Source organism: Homo sapiens, chromosome 20 (genome assembly GCF_000001405.40).
Source record: "Homo sapiens chromosome 20, GRCh38.p14 Primary Assembly".
NCBI lineage: Eukaryota > Metazoa > Chordata > Mammalia > Primates > Hominidae > Homo > Homo sapiens.
The window spans coordinates 50,491,657-50,509,325 of NC_000020.11; the positions used below are offsets into that span (position 1 = coordinate 50,491,657).

Sequence of the window (17,669 nt, forward strand, 5' to 3'; positions counted from 1 at the left end):
TATTTGGGGAGAGTTCATTCTTTTCTGTGTGCAAGGGATGGGAAGGAGCTGTCCTGTCCATTATAGGATATATAGATGCAGCCCCAGATTCTACCCACGAGATGCCACTAGCACCTCTCCTAGTTATGATAACCAAAAATGTCTTCACACGTTGTCAAATGTCCCCTGGGGGCCAAAATCATCCCTTGTGCCTCTTGCTGATGATTGGTTCAGGAGTGAACAGGCCCAAGCCAGTTTTGCCCAATAGGACACCAGGGGAGCTGGCTGCAGTGGCTTACACTTGTATTTCCAGCACTTTGGGAGGCTGAGGTGGGAGGATCATTGAGGCCAGGAGTTCAAGTTCAGCCTGAACAATATAGTGAGACCCTGTCTCTACAAAAAAAAAAAAAAAAAGTTTTAATTACCTGGGTGTGGTGGTGCACTCCTGTAGTCCCAGCTATTCAGGAGGCTGAGGTGGGAGGATTGCTTGAGCCCAGGAGGTTGATGCTGCAGTGAGCCATGATCACGCCACTACACTCCAGCCTGGGCAACACAGTGAGACCCTGCCTCAAAAAAAAAAAAAAAAAAAGACACCAGGATAGATTTCTTGGGGACTTCTGGCAGTAACATTTCCTTACTCTCAAGAGAGAGCTATGGGGAGACACTCCCTCTCTTTCGCACTGGATGATTTAGCAAATGATCTTACCGTCATAATCACTACTGGCAGCGTGCCCCGTTTTGCAGCCACAGGGAACCAGTTTTCAGATAAAGCCAACACATGGATAGTAATGGGAAGAAAGAGAGAGAACCCTGGATCTCAATTACATTCTTGAACCTCTGAATCAACCAACCTTGGTGTTGCCCTTCCTACAATAAACTCCCTTACTGCTTAAGCCAGGTTGAGTTGAGTTTTCTGTTACTTGCAGCCAAAGCGTCCTGAGTGCCGCACCCTCAGAGCTGAAGAGCACACTCGTGAGTTGATGCCAGCAAGATCCCCCAGCGCATCATGTGGCCAATTCTTTCTAAACTTGGTTTCAGAGCTTTCTTGCTCCATTTCTAAAAAGCACCTTATATCCTTCTAACAAATTCCTTTTCTGTTTCTGTTGGTAAGAACCAGTTTCTTTTTCCTTCTTTCTTTCTTTTCTTTTTTAGACGCAGTTTCGTCCTTGTTGCCCAGGCTGGAGTGCAGTGGCGCCATCTCGGCTCACTGCAACCTCCACCTCCCAGGTTCAACCGATTCTCCTGTCTCAGCCTCCCGAGTAGCTGGGATTACAGGCGCCCGCCACCAGGCCCAGCTAATTTTTTGTGTTTTTAGTAGAGATGGGGTTTCACCATGTTGGCCAGGCTGGTCTTGAACTCCTAACCTCAGGAGATCCGCCTGCCTCGGCCTCCCAAAGTGCTGGGATTATAGGCATGAGCCACCACACCCGGCCTGACCAGAACCAATTTCTGTGATATGCAATGGAAGAATTCTGTTACCTCAGTTGGCTAATTTCAGCAAAAAGCCCCAACATTCTTAGTCATCATAAAACTCGTTTGCTGAGTATGACTGACTCACCTGGTATTTCATAAAGTGCTACTTATGAGACCCACAAGAAAGATTAAGCCTCATGTGAACAGGCTGATGGGAAATCCACACAGAAAATATTTTGATAAGTTCTAAAGCAGCACCACATGCTTTAGAAGGTCATGCCAAAGGCAGTCCAATGGGGTCATCCCAGTGCATCCTAAGGACCACCAGCTCCAGCAGGAGAATTAGGTAAAAGGGCAAGGAGAACAGCACACAGGGTCACAGAGACCCTGGCTCCACCACCAGCTCGCTCTGTAACCCTGTGGGAGTGAGTTGAGGGAGTGCGTTGCTTCTCCCTCTGAGCCTCAGTTGCCTCATTTGTCAAACAAGCATTCACTTCTCAGGGCTGATGTGAACTTTAACTGAGGTGACACATGTCTAACTGGTTCAGGGGTACGTCTCAACTTGTTGAGGTGTAACTACGAAACCACTTTATTTTTACAATAATTGCTACCAAATGGTCTCTGTTGAAATTTCCTTTTTCCCTCTGGGGAATGATCAGAATAACAGAGTAGTGGTAGTAGAGGCAGGAGCAGAGGTAGCGGCAAGCTCCCAGGTGGCCCCGCCTCTGTGCCAGGCACTTGCCTAAGCTCTTGGCATATATTACTCACCAAATCTTCACAATGAGCTTCTGAGGTAGGGACCAATAGTTATCTCCATTTTACAGAAATAGAGAAAAAAGAACTTAAATGAGTTGCCCAAAGTCACGGAGCTATTAAAGAATGGGCTTCCTCAACCAGCCTCTCAACAATTCCATAGCATGCCTGACTGACTCTTTGGTTACCAAAGCTGTCTATTTCAGGTCTTAAAACCCAAATCTCCTCCAATTAGAATGTCAGTCTCAACCAGTGAAGCACAACGAGACCCAGTCTCATGGTCATGATGTCGAACAAACGAAGACAGACACCAAAAAGCATGCACGGCATGATTCCATTTATGTGAAGTTCAAAAACAGGCAAAAGCAATCCAGGGTGTTAGCAGGATAGTGGTCACCCTTGGCAAAGGGTAGTGACTAGGAGGGTTACTAGGTAGCTTTCTGAGGGGCTGGGAGAGTTCTGTATCTTGATCTGGGTGCAGGTTATGTGAGCATGTTTAGTCTGGGGAAATTCACTGAGCCGTGCACTTATGATATATCTGTGTGCATGTACACACATATACTTTTCTGTATGTGTTTTATAGTTCAATATAAATTTCCTTGGAAAAAACTTCATTCTCAGATCTGATTCAAAGTTCTTTTAGATCCCCTGGCCCCATGTCACCCAGTTCAAGCCAGACTCATGATTCTAGTGGCTTGGAGCTGGGACAATGGGTAGGGGGAGCAGGAGAAGCAAGACGTGCTCTCTTTCCCCTTCTCCTTGACGCCCACGGTAGAATGGGCATAAGGATGGGCTGCCATTCTGCTGAAATGGCTCCACAGCGAGCCGTGAAGGAAGGTGGCTGACCCCAACTGCTGAATGACCTTTGAACTTAGGCCAAGAGACTCAGAGCACCCCTAACATCATCCTGTTGCACATGTAAAGTGCCTAGCACAAAGCAGGTGTGTAATGGGGGGGGAGGTGCTAGATGGAGATGCAATATTTTTGATATCTTGAGGACTAAAAGTCGGGATGATCTGCTCTTTCAAATATGCCAGAAATTTTTGGATTCATAATCAGTTGAATAATTGATTTCTATTTGAAGCCTTTTAGTTAGACAAAAGGAAAAGTGATAAGTCTGCCATCTTCATCTGAGTTCCTCCAGAAGCCAACTCTGAGACAAGGATTTAAATGCAAGTAATTTATTCCTGAGGAGATCCTTGGAGGCAGCAGGTGAGGAGTGGGGAAGTGACCACGAAGTTTCTGATTTAGGACAGTGGTGAAAAGTTGATGCAGGTGGCTTCTAAAAGATCTTGACTTCCAAGGCAACTAGGGCTCTGGGGAAGGAATATGGCTGAACTTCAGACCCATAGGGCTACAGGAAGATAGAGACAGAAGACAAAGACCATGTACCAGTTAGCATGCTCTCAACTGCAAGTAGCAAGCCAATCCAAAGTGGCTTAAACAGTAAAAATGCTCCTGATGTCTTCAAATAATGTCTTCAAATAATGTCTGGGAAGGGACATGAATGAGCATGTGGGCCAGTGGGGCTCAAACCCACCCATGTAAGGGCCATGCCTCCACATTGCCATACCTGAGAAGCAAGGAGCTGGGGTATTTATCTCTTTCGCACTTTGGGAGGCTGAGCGGGCGAATCACCTGAGGTCAGGAGTTCAAGACCAGCCTGGCCAACATGGTGAACCCTGTCTCTACTAAAAATACAAAAAGTTAGCTGGGCGTAGTGGCACATGCCTGTAATCCCAGCTACTTGGGAGGCTGAGGCAGGAGAATCACTTGATCCCAGGAAACAGAGCTTGCAAAGAGCCAAGATTGTGCCACTCCAGCCTGGGCAACAGAGTGAGACTCTGTCACCAAAAAAAAAAAAAAAAAAAAAATTGATAAAAAGAGAAAGAGAGAGACAGAGACCTCAGAAAGACAGAGTGAAAGGGAGGGGTTAGAATAAAGGGAGGATGAAGATCGAGATGAAGTGACAGAGAGACCTAAGAACTTGTGAAAATGTGCTTACCAAAATGTGAGCAGTGGCCAGGCGCGGTGGCTCACGCCTGTCATCCCAGCACTTTGGGAGGCCGAGGTGGGCAGATCACAAGGTCAGGAGATCGAGACCGTCCTGGCTAACACGGCGAAACCCCGTCTCTACTAAAAATACAAAAAAAAAATTAGCCGGGCATGGTGGCGGGCGCCTGTAGTCCCAGCTACTCGGTAGGCTGAGGCAGGAGAATGGCGTGAACCCGTGAGGCAGAGCTTGCAGTGAGCCGAGATCGCACCACTGCACTCCAGCCTGAGGGACAGAGTGAGACTCCGTCTCAAACAAAAACAAAACAAAACAAAAAACACACACACAACACGTGAGCAGTGACCAGCACAGGTAGTAAGAGTTAAAAGTAAGTTGTGGGCCAGGCGCAGTGGCTCACGCCTGTAATCCCAGCACTTTGCGAGGCCGAGACAGGCAGATCATCTGAGGTCGGGATTTCGAGACCAGCCTGACCAACATGGAGAAACCCTGTCTCTACTAAAAATACAAAATTATCCAGGCATGGTGGTGCGTGCCTGTAATCCCAGCTGCTAGGGAGGCTGAGGCAGGAGAATTGCTTGAACCTGGGAGGCAGAGGTTGCGGTGAGCCAAGATCGCTCCATTGCACTCCAGCCTGGGTAGCAAGAGTGAAACTCCGTTTAAAAAAAAAAAAAAAAAGTAAGTTGTGTCTCTTTTATATGCACTTTTCAAGTTTTCTTCATTAAATGAGTATTCCTTTTGTGATAAGAAAAAGAAATAAGAACAACAAAAATGTCCTACCTCCAATGCTAGAACTTCCAGCTCTGCGTGTGAAAACACCCACTTTAAATTGCTTCTCTCTTTAGTTCAACCATGTTTCTTGAAATGGTTTGAATACAGGCAGAGTTTCCTTCTCTCCCTCCTTCCTTCTTTTTCCTTTTTTTTAAAGGAGACCAAAGTCAGAGTTGCCTCAGTGCTGACCCAACATTGAGGCTGAAAGTGGGTACAATAAGGGTAATTTAAGAAGGCAGGGATTAACAGCTGCTTTGGAAATGACAATTGGGTTAACCTCTTCTTCATTCTCACTCTCTCTCTCTCTCTCTCTGCAAGAACCATCTTGCCCTAGAGGAATGCAGGAAGGCAGTGGGGAGGGAAAATGACTCTGTTTAGGGAGGTGATAAAATGGGATGTGATGATTAATTCTTCATATATTTATTTGACAAGCATTCAGGGAGCACCTCTTCTCGCCCAGGTCCTGGGCTAGGCCCTGGGGACATAGCAAGATGAATACTACAGGATCCACGACTGTGAGGGCTGAGAGAGACACACGTGCAGATTGCTAAGACCAATATGAGAGGATCATTCCATACCCAAACACAGAGTTGCATGAAGGCCGAGGTTCTGCTTTCACCCCACCAGATACCAATTTCGCTCCTGAAATGAAGAAGTAAGGAGTGACCAGAGAGAATCTTATTTAGCAGGCAGTGATGATAAGTTAATACAGGTAGTTTCCAAAAGATCTTGACTTCCAAACAACTGGTGCTCTGGGGAAGGAATGTGTCTAAACATGAGACCCATAGGGCTAAAGGAAGGTAGAGACAGAAGACAAAGACCCTGTATCAGTTAGCATGCTCTCAGCTGCAGGTAACAAAAAAACCAACCCAAAGTGGCTTAAGTAGTAAAAATGTTTATGATGTCTTCAAATAAGTCCAGAGCTAGGCAGTCCCAGGGACAATTCGATAACTCAGTGATGTCAAGGACCTAAGTGCTTTTTATATTTTTGCTCCTCTATCTTAGCCTGGTTTTAAAAAAAAATAATTCCTCCCATATGTCTCTCTTTTTTTTTTTTTTTTTTTTTTTTTTGAGACGGAGCATCGCTCTGTCCCCCCAGGCTGGAGTGCAGTGGTGCAGTCACGGCTCACTGCAAGCTCTGCCTCCCAGGTTCATGCCATTCTCCTGCCTCAGCCTCCCGAGTATCTGGGACTACAGGTGCCCGCCACCACGCCCAGCTAATTTTTTCTATTTTTAGTAGAGACAGGGTTTCACCATGTTGGCCAGGCTAGTCTTGAACTCCTGACCTCAAGTGATCCGCCCGCCTCGGCCTCCCAAAATGCTAGGATTACAGGCGTAAGCCACCATGCCTGGCCCCATATGTCTCCTTTACAAGAAGGGAAAATCTTTCCCAGAAGCTCTTGGGCAGATTTTGCAATACTGCCATTGGCCAGGATTGAGTCCCATACCCATGCCCTGATGCAAAGGAGGCTTTGAAGGGGCCTCCCAGTTTTTTCTTCTTGGCACTGTCAGCCAAGAAGAAGGGGGAAGAGAAAGATGAATAGATAGGCAACCAACAGTGTCTGCCTCAGAAGGGAATTAACATTCACTGGGCCCTGTTTATAACCCCAGCCATCCCCCAGATTTCCAGCTTCCTCTTTAATATCTAACATCGGAACCCCATGACCCTAACAAGACAGAACTTTCATCAGGTTCTTTCTGCAGGATATTACTCAGAGTCTCTGGGGGATGTTCTCATGTTCCCTGGACCATGCTTGTGATTGCTTGGCAACCACAGTGAGCCCTTTCTCCCAGGGCATCTACTGCCCTTGTCTGCCACCTCCTAACTGTCTGCACCAGGATGGTGCTCCTGTCACTAACACCATCTCAACTTGAAAGTAGTACCCAGCCCTCTTCCTTAACAGCCCCCAAAACATGGCTGGATTGATTAGAATATAGGTTTAATTACTGTAACTGAGACCCTCATTAACAGCGGTTTAAACAAAGCAGAAGTTTATTACTTTTTTTTTTTTTTTTTGAGACTGGGTTTCGCTGTGTCACCCAGGCTAGAGTGCAGTGGTGTGATCTCGGCTCACTGCAACCTCCTGGGCTCAAGTGTTTCTCCTGCCTCAGCCTCCCAAGTAATTGGGACTACAGGGATTTGCCACAATACCTGGCTAATTTTTGTAGTTTTAGTAGAGACGGGGTTTCACCATGTTGGTCAGGCTGGTCTCGAACTCCTGACCTCATGATCTGCCCACTTCGGCCTCCCAAAGTGCTGGGATTACAGGCGTGAGCCACCATGCCCAGCCCAGAAATTTATTTCTAACCAGTCAGAATGATACCTACAAGCAATCAGGATGACTGTAGCTGTGCATATCAGCTGAATATCAGCCCTTTTATGTCTTGTTCATGTAACAGTGTGTGTGATCAGTCTGGGGCTAATGGGGCTGGCCCATGGGGTCAGAGTCTCAGGCTTTTTCTATCTTGTTTTCTTCCATCCCTTCCATGTTGCTCTTGTCCACACAGTTCAAGTTGGTGCCACCATGTCACATTCCAGGCAGTACTATGGAAGAAAAGGTGAAAGAAAGACCCCAACCCAGCCGGGCTTGGTGGCTCACACCTGTAATCCCAGCACTTTAGGAGGCCAAGGTGGGCAGATCACAAGGGCAAGAGATCAAGACCATCCTGGCCAACATGGTGAAACCCCATCTCTATTAAAAATACAAAAATTAGCTGGGTGTGGTGGCACGCGCCTGTAGTCCCAGCTACTCAGGAGGCTGAGGCAGGAGAATTGCTCGAGCCTGGGAGGCGGAGGTTGCAGTGAGCTGAGATGGCATCGCTGCACTCCAGCCAGGCGACAGAGCGAGACTCCATCTCAAAAAAAAAAAAAAAAAAAAAGAAAGACCCTGACCCCACCCCACACTGTTCCTGAACCAAGCCTTTAAAGGCATGATTTAGAAATGGTGCACGTCACTTCCACTCAGGTCCTATTGGTCAGCATGCAGTCATATGGCACATCTAGTTGCAAGGGAAGTTGGGAAATGTAGTCTTTAGCCAGGCAGGCATGTGCCCAGTTACAATCCTGTTTCTATGAAAGCAGAGAACTGACACTGGGGACAATTAGTATCTGACCCAGCAGCTAAGATGAGCCCATAGCAGTTAACAAAATTTTACTGAAGCCTTGGGGATAACAGGTGAGAATTACAATGCAGAAAAGGGAAATGCAAAATGAAATTGTAAATAAATCATGTTTGGAGGCCATATAGCTGCTTCATGCTTTCCTTCCTGCTGGTCTTCACCCTCCTTTCTCTCTAGCATGCTGTCATGCTGTGAGAACCAGCCTACCTCCCGTGGATGATGGCTGCCTAACTTCTTCTCCCTAGAATTTAGGACCCCCTCTTTCTCCTCTTTGCCCCAGGTAAAGCAAAAGGCCCTCCCCTTCCCACAGTGAGTCTGGCTTCCTTGCCTACCCCAGGATATGGGCAGTGGGAATATCCATGTCCTCCTGAAGAAAGTACAATTCCCCATGTGGTTCCCCTTGCAGCTCACTTCCCTGTGGCCTGGATGAGGCCATCACAAGAGTTGTAAGTGCGATCCCCTAAGCCCGGGTCCCTCCACTTTCAGTTATTCCAAATCAGAGTCCTCTCCAAGGGCTTCCCACCAGCACAAGGGGAAGGAAAGTTCAGGTCAGCGCCTCTTCTCTGCACAGTCAAGTCTCAAACAGAAGACCAGTTTCATCTTCAAATACAGAAACTGCTGGAGCAAATACTTGGTCAAAAAGGTACACATCTTTCCCAAGGACTTCAGGAACCCTTCTAGCTAAATCAAAGCTTAGAAATTCATTCCTCTTTTCTAAAAGGCTATGGTCCTAGTACAGATCCACCCAACTTACATGCATTATCACAATGCTGGTGTGCAACAGTGGGCAAGTCATGTATCACTCCAAGCCTCAGTTTCCTCATCTGTGAAATGAGGTTAATGACAGTTTCTCTTACAGGGTTGTTGGGAAGATGTAGAGAGATGATAAAGGTAAAGTGCTAGCTTAGTGCAGAGCCTAGTCTTTCGTCAAAGCCCAATACATGTAGCTAACATAACTAGTATTATTAAACAATAAGAAACAACTCAACATGGGGAATCTGCATCTGGATAATATCACTGTCTTAGGATTCTCCCCAAGAGCAGTGATTTCTCCCAGAATAATGGAAGAACATTCTCATCTTCAAAGACAAAAATGGCTCCAAATCCCCTTCAAAAACTTGAAAAACTAGACTTCACCTCCAGAACTGGTTACATAAGCTCAATGCAGAATGAATATGCGGGGCTCCTTGTTCAAACATTATTGCGAGTTTCGGCCAGGCACAGTCGCTCATGCCTGTAATCCCTGCACTTTCAGAGGCCGAGGCAGGTGGATCTCCTGAGGTCAGGAGTTTGAGACAAGCCTGGCCAACATGGTGAAACCTCATCTCTACTAAAAACACCAAAATTAGCCGGGCGTGGTGGTGGGTGCCTGTAATCCCAGCCACTCGGGAGGCTGAGGCAGGAGAATCTCTTGAAACTGGGAGGCAGAGGTTGCAGTGAGCCAAGATTGCACCACTGCATTCCAGCCTGGGCAACGGAGCAAGACTCCATCTCAAAAAAAAAAAAATTATTAAGAATTTCAAGGCTGGGTGCGGTGGCTCACACCTGTAATCCTAGCAATTTGGGAGGCCGAGGCGGGCAGATCACTTGAGATCAGGAGTTCAAAACCAGCCTGGCCAACATGGTGAAACCCCGTCTCTACTAAAAATACAAAAAAAAAAAATTAGCCGGGCATGGTGGCAGGTGCCTGTAATCCCAGCTACTCGAGAGGCTGAGGCAGGAGAATTGCTTTAACCCAAGAGGCAGAGGTTGCAGAGAGCCAAGGTCACGCCACTGCACTCCAGCCTGGACAACAGAGCGAGACTCAGTCTCAAAAACAAACAAAAACAAAGAAACAAACAAACAAACAAAAGAATTTCAAGACAAAGACAGCAGAGCAAACAAGTGCAGGCCCCTTCTGAGCTCGGGACTCTGCAATCACACAGGTTGCACACACACCCATGAAACCAGCCAAGTTCACCTACAGCAGCAGAACAAAAAATAGGGTTGTAAAATTGCAGGTTGCAATATATATTATGAAAAACTTCTGAAGACAGATGGTAGCTTGCTTTTTTCCACTCAGCAACTTACACAACTGTAGAACAACAGCAAAATTTTTGAGTCCTTGCTGTGAACTAGAGACCAGGCTGAGTGCTTTACACACATACTCTCATTTAATCATCACATCCCTGCATTCTGTAAAAGATGGAAAACCAAGGATTGGAGAGGGTAAGGAACTTGCCCAAGGGCACATGAGCCCAATTCAGCCTAATTCCAGAACCCACACCCAGAACCACCATGTGTACAGTGAAAGTGCCCCCGCAAGCCTCAGCCCTGCAAACTAGAGTGTGGAGGATGTTGTAGGGGCCTCTGGAAACCCTCCCCAGACTCCTCCTTTGCTGAAAGCATGGAGCTGGGACCGGTTTCCATCTTTGGATCCAACTTCCCTCCTTGAACTTTCCCGCACATCTCTGACCCTCCTTTCTCAGAACACATGTGATTCCCCTAGTTCCCCCTGAATGCCTCCTCCTCCCCCACCGGGGAAGTTGCTCTTACCAGACAGGCAGCGTGGGATTATGTTTACGCATTTATTTTTGTTTCTTTTTAATGACTTGCTGTAAAGCTTAAAATGTCTTCCGGGTGGTAGAGAGGCAGGGGAGTCGCCCATTAAAAATGAAGCCCAGTAAAAATGAAGCCCAGTAGAGACGTGAGTGGGAGATTCTGGGCTGTTAACCTTCCCGTGAGTTCTGAAATAGTGCAGAACTCATATATTTAATATAGTTTCAGAACTAGAAGCAGCAAATAGAGCTGAACTGGGTTCAAATCCTGACTCCACCATTTCTCATCTGTGTGACTGTGGGCAAGTTGCTTAACCTCTCTGTGCCACGGTTCAAATGGAGATCACAATAGTACAGGCTCCAGAGTGGTGGTGTTAATGAATGATTATCGTTATTATTATCCTCATTGTTATTACTATTGTTTTTAGAGCTCATGGGAGTCCTTGGAGAGACTGTATAGCTTCATGGCTGAGAATATAGATGCTGAAATCAGGCTGCATCTGGGATTAAATCAGGGATTTAAATCCCACTTGACTACCTACTGGCTGTATGACCTTGGTTAAATAACTGGCCTCTCTGAGCCTCAGTTTCCTCAATTGACAAATTCTCCCCTGGGCAGAGGGATTGGATTAGAGATGGCATGTGAGCTTCAGTTGGATCAATGAGACTCAAGGCCAGGACTCAGGGTCCACCAGGGAAAAGAAGCTCTTCCCACTGGAGCTGCTGAGCTGATAGGCTGTGAGCCTGGGGCTGCTGGGGCTCTAGAGGACAGCCTGCTCGAGAGTGAAGCTAGCACAGGGGAAGAAACATAAAAGAGCTGGGGAGAGAGAGAGTCACAATGACGTTTGAGGCCCTGGATCTGGCGGTGCCTGAAGCAAGGAAGCCTCCTTTGGACTTCCCAATTTCATGAGCCAGTAAATTCCCCGTTTTGCGAAAGCCACTTTTCAGTTGGGTTTTTCTCACTGGAAAGTATCCAGGCTGACACCAGGATTTCCATTTAGCAACTTGACCCAGGCCTGCAAGCTAGTGAGTAGCAGCCTCAGGGGTTAGAAGCTCCTAGCTCTGTACCACGGTGCTCTGTCATCCAGCATGCAAGCCAGCATTCTGTACTGGGTGTTCATTGCTTTCACCTCTTTAGCCTCTCCGAGCAGCTATTTTCTCATCTCTCAAATGTGGATAAACAGCAGGCTTGCAGGGCTGTTGGGAAACACAAAATTCAAAGTAATGCTTTTAGGCCAGGCATGGTGGCTCACGCCTATAATCCCAGCACTTTGGGAGGCTGAGGCGGGCAGATCACTTGAGGTCAGGAGTTTGAGACCAGCCTGGCCAACATGGTGAAACTCCATCTTTACTAAAAATACAAAATAAATTAGCCAAGCGTGGTGGCAAGTGCCTGTAATCCCAGCTCCTTGGGAGGCTGAGGTAGGAGAATCACTTGAACGTGGGAGGCAGAGGTTGCAGTGAGCCGAGATTGTACCAGTGCACTCCAGCCTGGGGCAACAAAGTGAGACCCTGTCTCAAAAAAAAAAAAAAAGGTAACACTATTAGTTAGCATGGTTTATGGCTGAAGGTTGGAGTTCTGTGCACCCAGTTTCTAGTGCCTTGGGCCTTGGCTTTTCCCCATTACTTATTCCATTGCAGGGATGTCTCTGGCTGTCCCTAAGTCAGCCAACCAGTCAAAGTGCCCAAACTCTCTTAGGCGAGCATGGGTGAATCTTGTGGGGGGAAGAGCCATCTTCCTTCCTGGCTATGTGTACCCAGTGGTGAGTGGAGGAAGCTAGATGACCTTGAGGATTCTTGAACTCTGAGTCTATGATGTACAAAGAAGCCCTGTTATGTTCATTTCCAGAACCTTCTAAAACTGATATGCTCTTCTGGGAATGATCTGTATTGCAGGGAAACAGCAATGAACCAAATCGACTTAGTCTCTTTCTTTAAGAAGTTTACATTTACTGGCAGATACAGATGATAAACACATAAAAATATACAACATCATATCACATGGTAACACTAGGGAAAAAATAAGTCATTAAATGCCTGCTAAGTGCCAAGAAGAAAAAGGAATAGAGTGATAGAGCACTGTTTATTAGAAGTGGTCAGAAGGGGGCTCTCTGAGGAAGTGACATGTCATTAGAGACTCAGTAGGGCTCATTCAGGATCACAAGCTCTTAAAACTGTGCTATCTCCCAGGAAGAAGATCAGGACCAATTTTTCCAGGAAACTTGCTGACCTCACTAAGTCAGGAGTCAGTGATCTGTTGGAGGCTTGGTAAACAGCCATCCTTCTCCACTGACGACTCTTAGGACATTTAAAAAAGTTTAATGGGTCATTGATTTGTAGTGCTGATTTCCTCCATTAGCTAAATCCACGAAGGAAAGGCTGGAGAAGCCGCGTGAGACCATTCCTCAGGCATGCCTGCCAGGAAAAGGTTTTAGCCATCATGTCACATGATCATTTGTCTATTTCTAACCAGTCATCACTAAAGATTCCCAATCACCACCATCACATCTCTGGAGGATCCCAGGGCATGGCTGCTTCTAGGCCAGGCCTTGGCAGGGAAGTGCCAGAGCTTTGCAGATCAACACCAAGCCTCAGAGAGTCGGAGTAGACCTTAAGTTCCTCCTCTCAACCAAATATCAAGGAAACAGACAAGAAGTCGAGGTCCCTGCCCTCCTAGAACATGACATTGAGGGGCAGGAGAAAGAAACAAGCCAGCAAATAAATAAGACACAGATGAGTGCTAGGAGCCACCAGAAGCTAGAACAGGAAAGGGAGGATCCTCCCCTAGAGAGTGACTGGGGACTATTTTAGGGAAGGTGGTCAGGGGAGACCTGTTTGGGGAGGTAACGTTTGACCTGAGACCTGAAAGCTGAGAAGATCTGCAAGAAGCGTGATCCAGGCAGAAGGAACAGCTGGTGCAAAGATGCTGGGTTGGGAGCCAGCCCCGTATATTTGGAGATAGACCTGAGACTGCAGGGAAGTAAGCGAGGGGACACAGTGACGGGCCAGGTCACGTGGGCCTTGTGGGCCAGGGTTAGACATGATTTGGGTTTTCTTCTAAGTAGGATGGGAAACTGTTGGAGGATTTTGCATAGGAGGGTTTCATGACCCAAATATTAAAAGCTATGTACACAATGAATGGAAGGGCAAATTAGCTGGTACCTGAAATTAGGGGTTTCGTTCAGGATCAATATTTGTGGCAAGGTTTCACTCTCTGCCACTGTAGTAGATTGAGTGGAGGCCTCCAAAAAGATATGTCCAAGTCCCCATACCTGTAAATGTGACCTATTTGGAAAAAGGGTCTTTGCACATGTAATAAATTTAAGAATCTTGAGATGGGATTGCCAAATCGTTCTGGATAGGATGAGCCCTGAATCCAAAGAGAGGCATCCTTGTAGGAACAGGGCAGAGGGAAATGGGGCAGGCAGAACAGGAGATACAGAGAAGAAAGTCTGCCAAGACAGAGGCAGGGATCAGAGTGAGGCAGCCACAAGCCAAGTAATGACTGGAGCTACCAGAAGCTGGAGAATGCAAAGGAGGACCCTCCCCTGGAGCCTTCAGAGGGAGCACGGCACTGTCAACACCTTGATTTTGGACTTTGGGCCTCAAGAACTGTGAGAGAATAAATTTCTGTTACTTGAAGCCACCAAATTTGTGGTAATTTGTTACAGCAGCCACTGGAAACAAGTACAGCCTCTAAACAGCCCAAACTTGGACCCTGCTTGAGGCTGCCTCCAACTCCCCTCTCCCCCACCAAGACCCTGTGTATAGCTTCGGCCCCATTCAAAGGCTACTCCAGGCTGGGTGCAGTGGCTCATACCTGTAATCCCAGCACTTCGGGAGGCCGAGGCGCGCGGATCACCTGAGGTCAGGAGTTCGAGATCAGCCTGGCCAACATGGCAAAACCCCATCTCTACTAAAAGTACAAAAATCAGCTGGGCGTGGTGGCGCACACCTGTAACCTCAGCTACTAAGAAGGCTGAGGCAGGAGAATCGCTTGAATCCGGGAGGTGGAAGTTGCAGTGAGCCAAGATCACGCCATTGCACTCCAGCATGGGTGACAGAACAAGACTCTAACTCAAACAAAACAAAACAAAACAAAACAAAACAAAACAAAACAAAACAGGCTACTCCAGTCACTGGGCAGCACCCCCTGCAGGCGTGAGGGCCACTTGGGCTTGGGATGGGCATTTATTTACTTACTTAGCTTGACATACAGGGACAGGAATGAACCAGCCCTGTTTTTGTTCCAGGATGCTCTCAGGATTGTGAGTTCCAGACAAACCAGAACCCAAAAAGTATAAGGGTTTAAGGGCGGGAGGAGCACAGGAGTCTGGACAGTCACTTAAAGGAACTAAGACTTCAATTAGGTAGCTTCCAAGTGTGGCAGCTCCCACAGTTTTCACTGGAATGGGCATTTTTGTTAATTTTTCCCCTATGGAATGCTCACTTTCTAAAGACACTGCTGATCAAGCTAATTGCATGTATTCAATAACATTTCATTTATCTCCTTTATTTGCTATTATTTAAAGATATGTAGTAATGACAGTTAATATTTATTGAGCCACTCAGTATACTAAGAGCATGATATGTACTCATCCAACCTTCACATCAGCCCTATGAGGTGGGCACTTTTATTATCTCTGTTTTACAAAGGAGAGCAGAGACTAATGAAAATTTGCCCAAGTTTGCACCACTAGTATTTATTCAGCTGGAACCTGGACCCACGAAGCCTGGCTCCAAAGCAGGCTCTGGAAACCAGGCTAGAATGCAGGTTTCCATACCAATGTGCAATGCTACTCTGGACAAGTAATTTTGTCTCTCTGTGCTTCAGTTTCCTCATCCATTTTTTTTTTTTAAGACAGAGTCTTGCTCTGTCACCCAGGCCCGAGTGCAGTGGTGTGATCTTGGCTCACTGCAACCTCTGCCTCCCAGGTTCAAGCAATTCTCCTGTCTCAGCCTCCCGAGTAGCTGGGTCTACAATCACACGCCACCATGGCTGGCTAATTTTTTTGTATTTTTAGTAGAGATGGGGTTTCACCATATTGATCAGGCTGGTGTCGAACTCCTGACCTCAGGCGATCACCCGCCTTAGCCTCCCAAAGTGCTGCGATTACAGGCATGAGTCACCGCACCCGGTCCCCCCCTCATCTAATTTTTTATTTTTATTTTAATTTAATTTATTGTATTTATTTATTTATTTTTTGAGATGGCATCTTTCTCCCGTCGCACAGGCTGGAGTGCAGTGGTTCAATCTCGGCTCACTGCAACCTCCACTTCCCAGGTTCAAGCCATTCTCCTTCCTCAGCCTCCCAATTAGCTGGGATTACAGGTGTGCACCACCACACCCATCTATTTTCTGTGTTTTTAGTAGAGACAGGCTTTCACCATGTTGGCCAGGCTGGTCTTGAACTCCTGACCTTAGGTGATCCACCTGCCTCAGCCTCCCAAAGTGCTAGGATTACAGGTGTGAGCCACCAGGCCTGGCCTATTTTTATTTATTTATTTTTTTTGAGACAGTGTCTCACTCTATCGTCCAGGCTGGAGTGCAGTGACATGATCATGGCTCACTGCAGCCTCAATCTCCCAGGCTCAAGTGATTCTCCCATCTCAGCCTCCTGAGTACCTGGGACTACAGGTGCACGCCACCACAGCCGGCTAATTTTTTTTTTTTTTTTTGAGACAGGATCTTGCTCTGTTGCCCAGGCTGGAGTGCAGTGGTGCAATCTCAGCTCACTGCAGCCTCTGCCTCCCAGGTTGAAGTGATTCTTGTGCCTCAGCCTGCCGAGTAGCTGGGATTACAGGCATGCACCACCACACCCTGCTAATTTTTGTATTTTTAGTAGAGTTGAGGTTTCACCATGCTTGTCAGGCTGGTCTCGAATTCCTGACCTCAAGTGATGCACCCACCACGGCCTCCCAAAGTGGTGGGATTACAGGCGTGAGCCACCACAGCCAGTCAGTTTTCTCGTTTATAAAATGGGAATAATAGCACCTGTATTGAAGGGTTGTTGTGGAGATTGAATGGGAATGTGTACTTAGAATTCCAGGCATAGTGCCTGCCACAAGCACTCAAGGAATGAGCTGGAGTTCAGCTGATAATACCAGGCAGTGTCTCTGGGCAACACGGAATGAAGACAATTCTCTCTTCCAGGTTTTCAAACCTCCTGGAATTCACAACGTCCACATGACATGCCAGGCCCAGAGGGGGATGGTTTAAACTGGAGCCTGCAGGAAGGCAACCTGACCAACCTGCTCATGGGTGCTTTAAGGATCATAGGTACGAGAATCAGCTGGAGTTGTTGGTGAAAATGCAGATTCCGGGTCTCATCCCTAGACCAAAGATATCTGAATCATTTGGCGATGGGTCCAGGAACCTGCATTATTCAACACACTTCCCAGGTGACCGTAAATGTCAAAAGACAAAATTACAACAAACTTAAACATCTTAATTGGCTTCATTCATGATTCTAGAATCGGGCAAGACTTCATTCCTCAAAATAGCACAAGTGTCCCAATGAGCTGAGCAGAGGAGGTTGGTTTTATAGACAGAAAAGGGCTGAAAAAAGCAGAAACAAAGAACAAAAAGCAGATTGGTCATTTCAAAGTTACTTTCCTTGTAAGGCAGGAACAGGGAAACAGAACAAGAGAGAAATAACTGATTGGTCGCATCGGGTTACTTCAGGTTACTTTTTGTTGTAAGGATTAAAGCAAAGGGAACTTCATTATGTTGATTAAAACGGTCTGCTTGGGAAATCAGGGTGTGTATCTCTCTTCTGATTTTGTGAAAGGTTATCAGTCTGATGATGTAGAACTTTAGCATGAGTGACTCCATTTTGATTTTTAGTCTAGTCTGTTGAGACCCTAATGCCAGAACTTTTTTTGTTTGTTTGTTTCGCTCTTGTTGCCCAGGCTGGAGTGCAGTGGAGCTATCTTGGCTCACTGCAACCTCTGCCTCCAGGGTTCAAGCGATTCTCCTGCCTCAGCCTCCCAAGTAGCTGGGATTACAGGCATGCGCCACCACGCCCGGCTAATTTTTTTTTTTTTTTTTTTTTTTAGCAGAAACCGAGTTTCACCATGTTGGT

The 17,669-nt window shown here is 46.8% G+C and overlaps 3 annotated features.

Annotated features, from left to right (window-relative positions):
* Positions 6,795-6,864: an enhancer, noted in NCBI's record as "active region_18089". NCBI's record gives its function as "activates an Ori minimal core promoter by ATAC-STARR-seq in GM12878 lymphoblastoid cells {active_cell/tissue: GM12878}" and the evidence as "EXISTENCE:reporter gene assay evidence [ECO:0000049][PMID:35858748]".
* Positions 8,027-8,256: an enhancer, noted in NCBI's record as "active region_18090". NCBI's record gives its function as "activates an Ori minimal core promoter by ATAC-STARR-seq in GM12878 lymphoblastoid cells {active_cell/tissue: GM12878}" and the evidence as "EXISTENCE:reporter gene assay evidence [ECO:0000049][PMID:35858748]".
* Positions 12,636-12,930: an enhancer, noted in NCBI's record as "tiled region #4283; K562 Activating DNase matched - State 5:Enh". NCBI's record gives its function as "activates a minimal TATA promoter and a strong SV40 promoter by Sharpr-MPRA in K562 cells {active_cell/tissue: K562}" and the evidence as "EXISTENCE:reporter gene assay evidence [ECO:0000049][PMID:27701403]".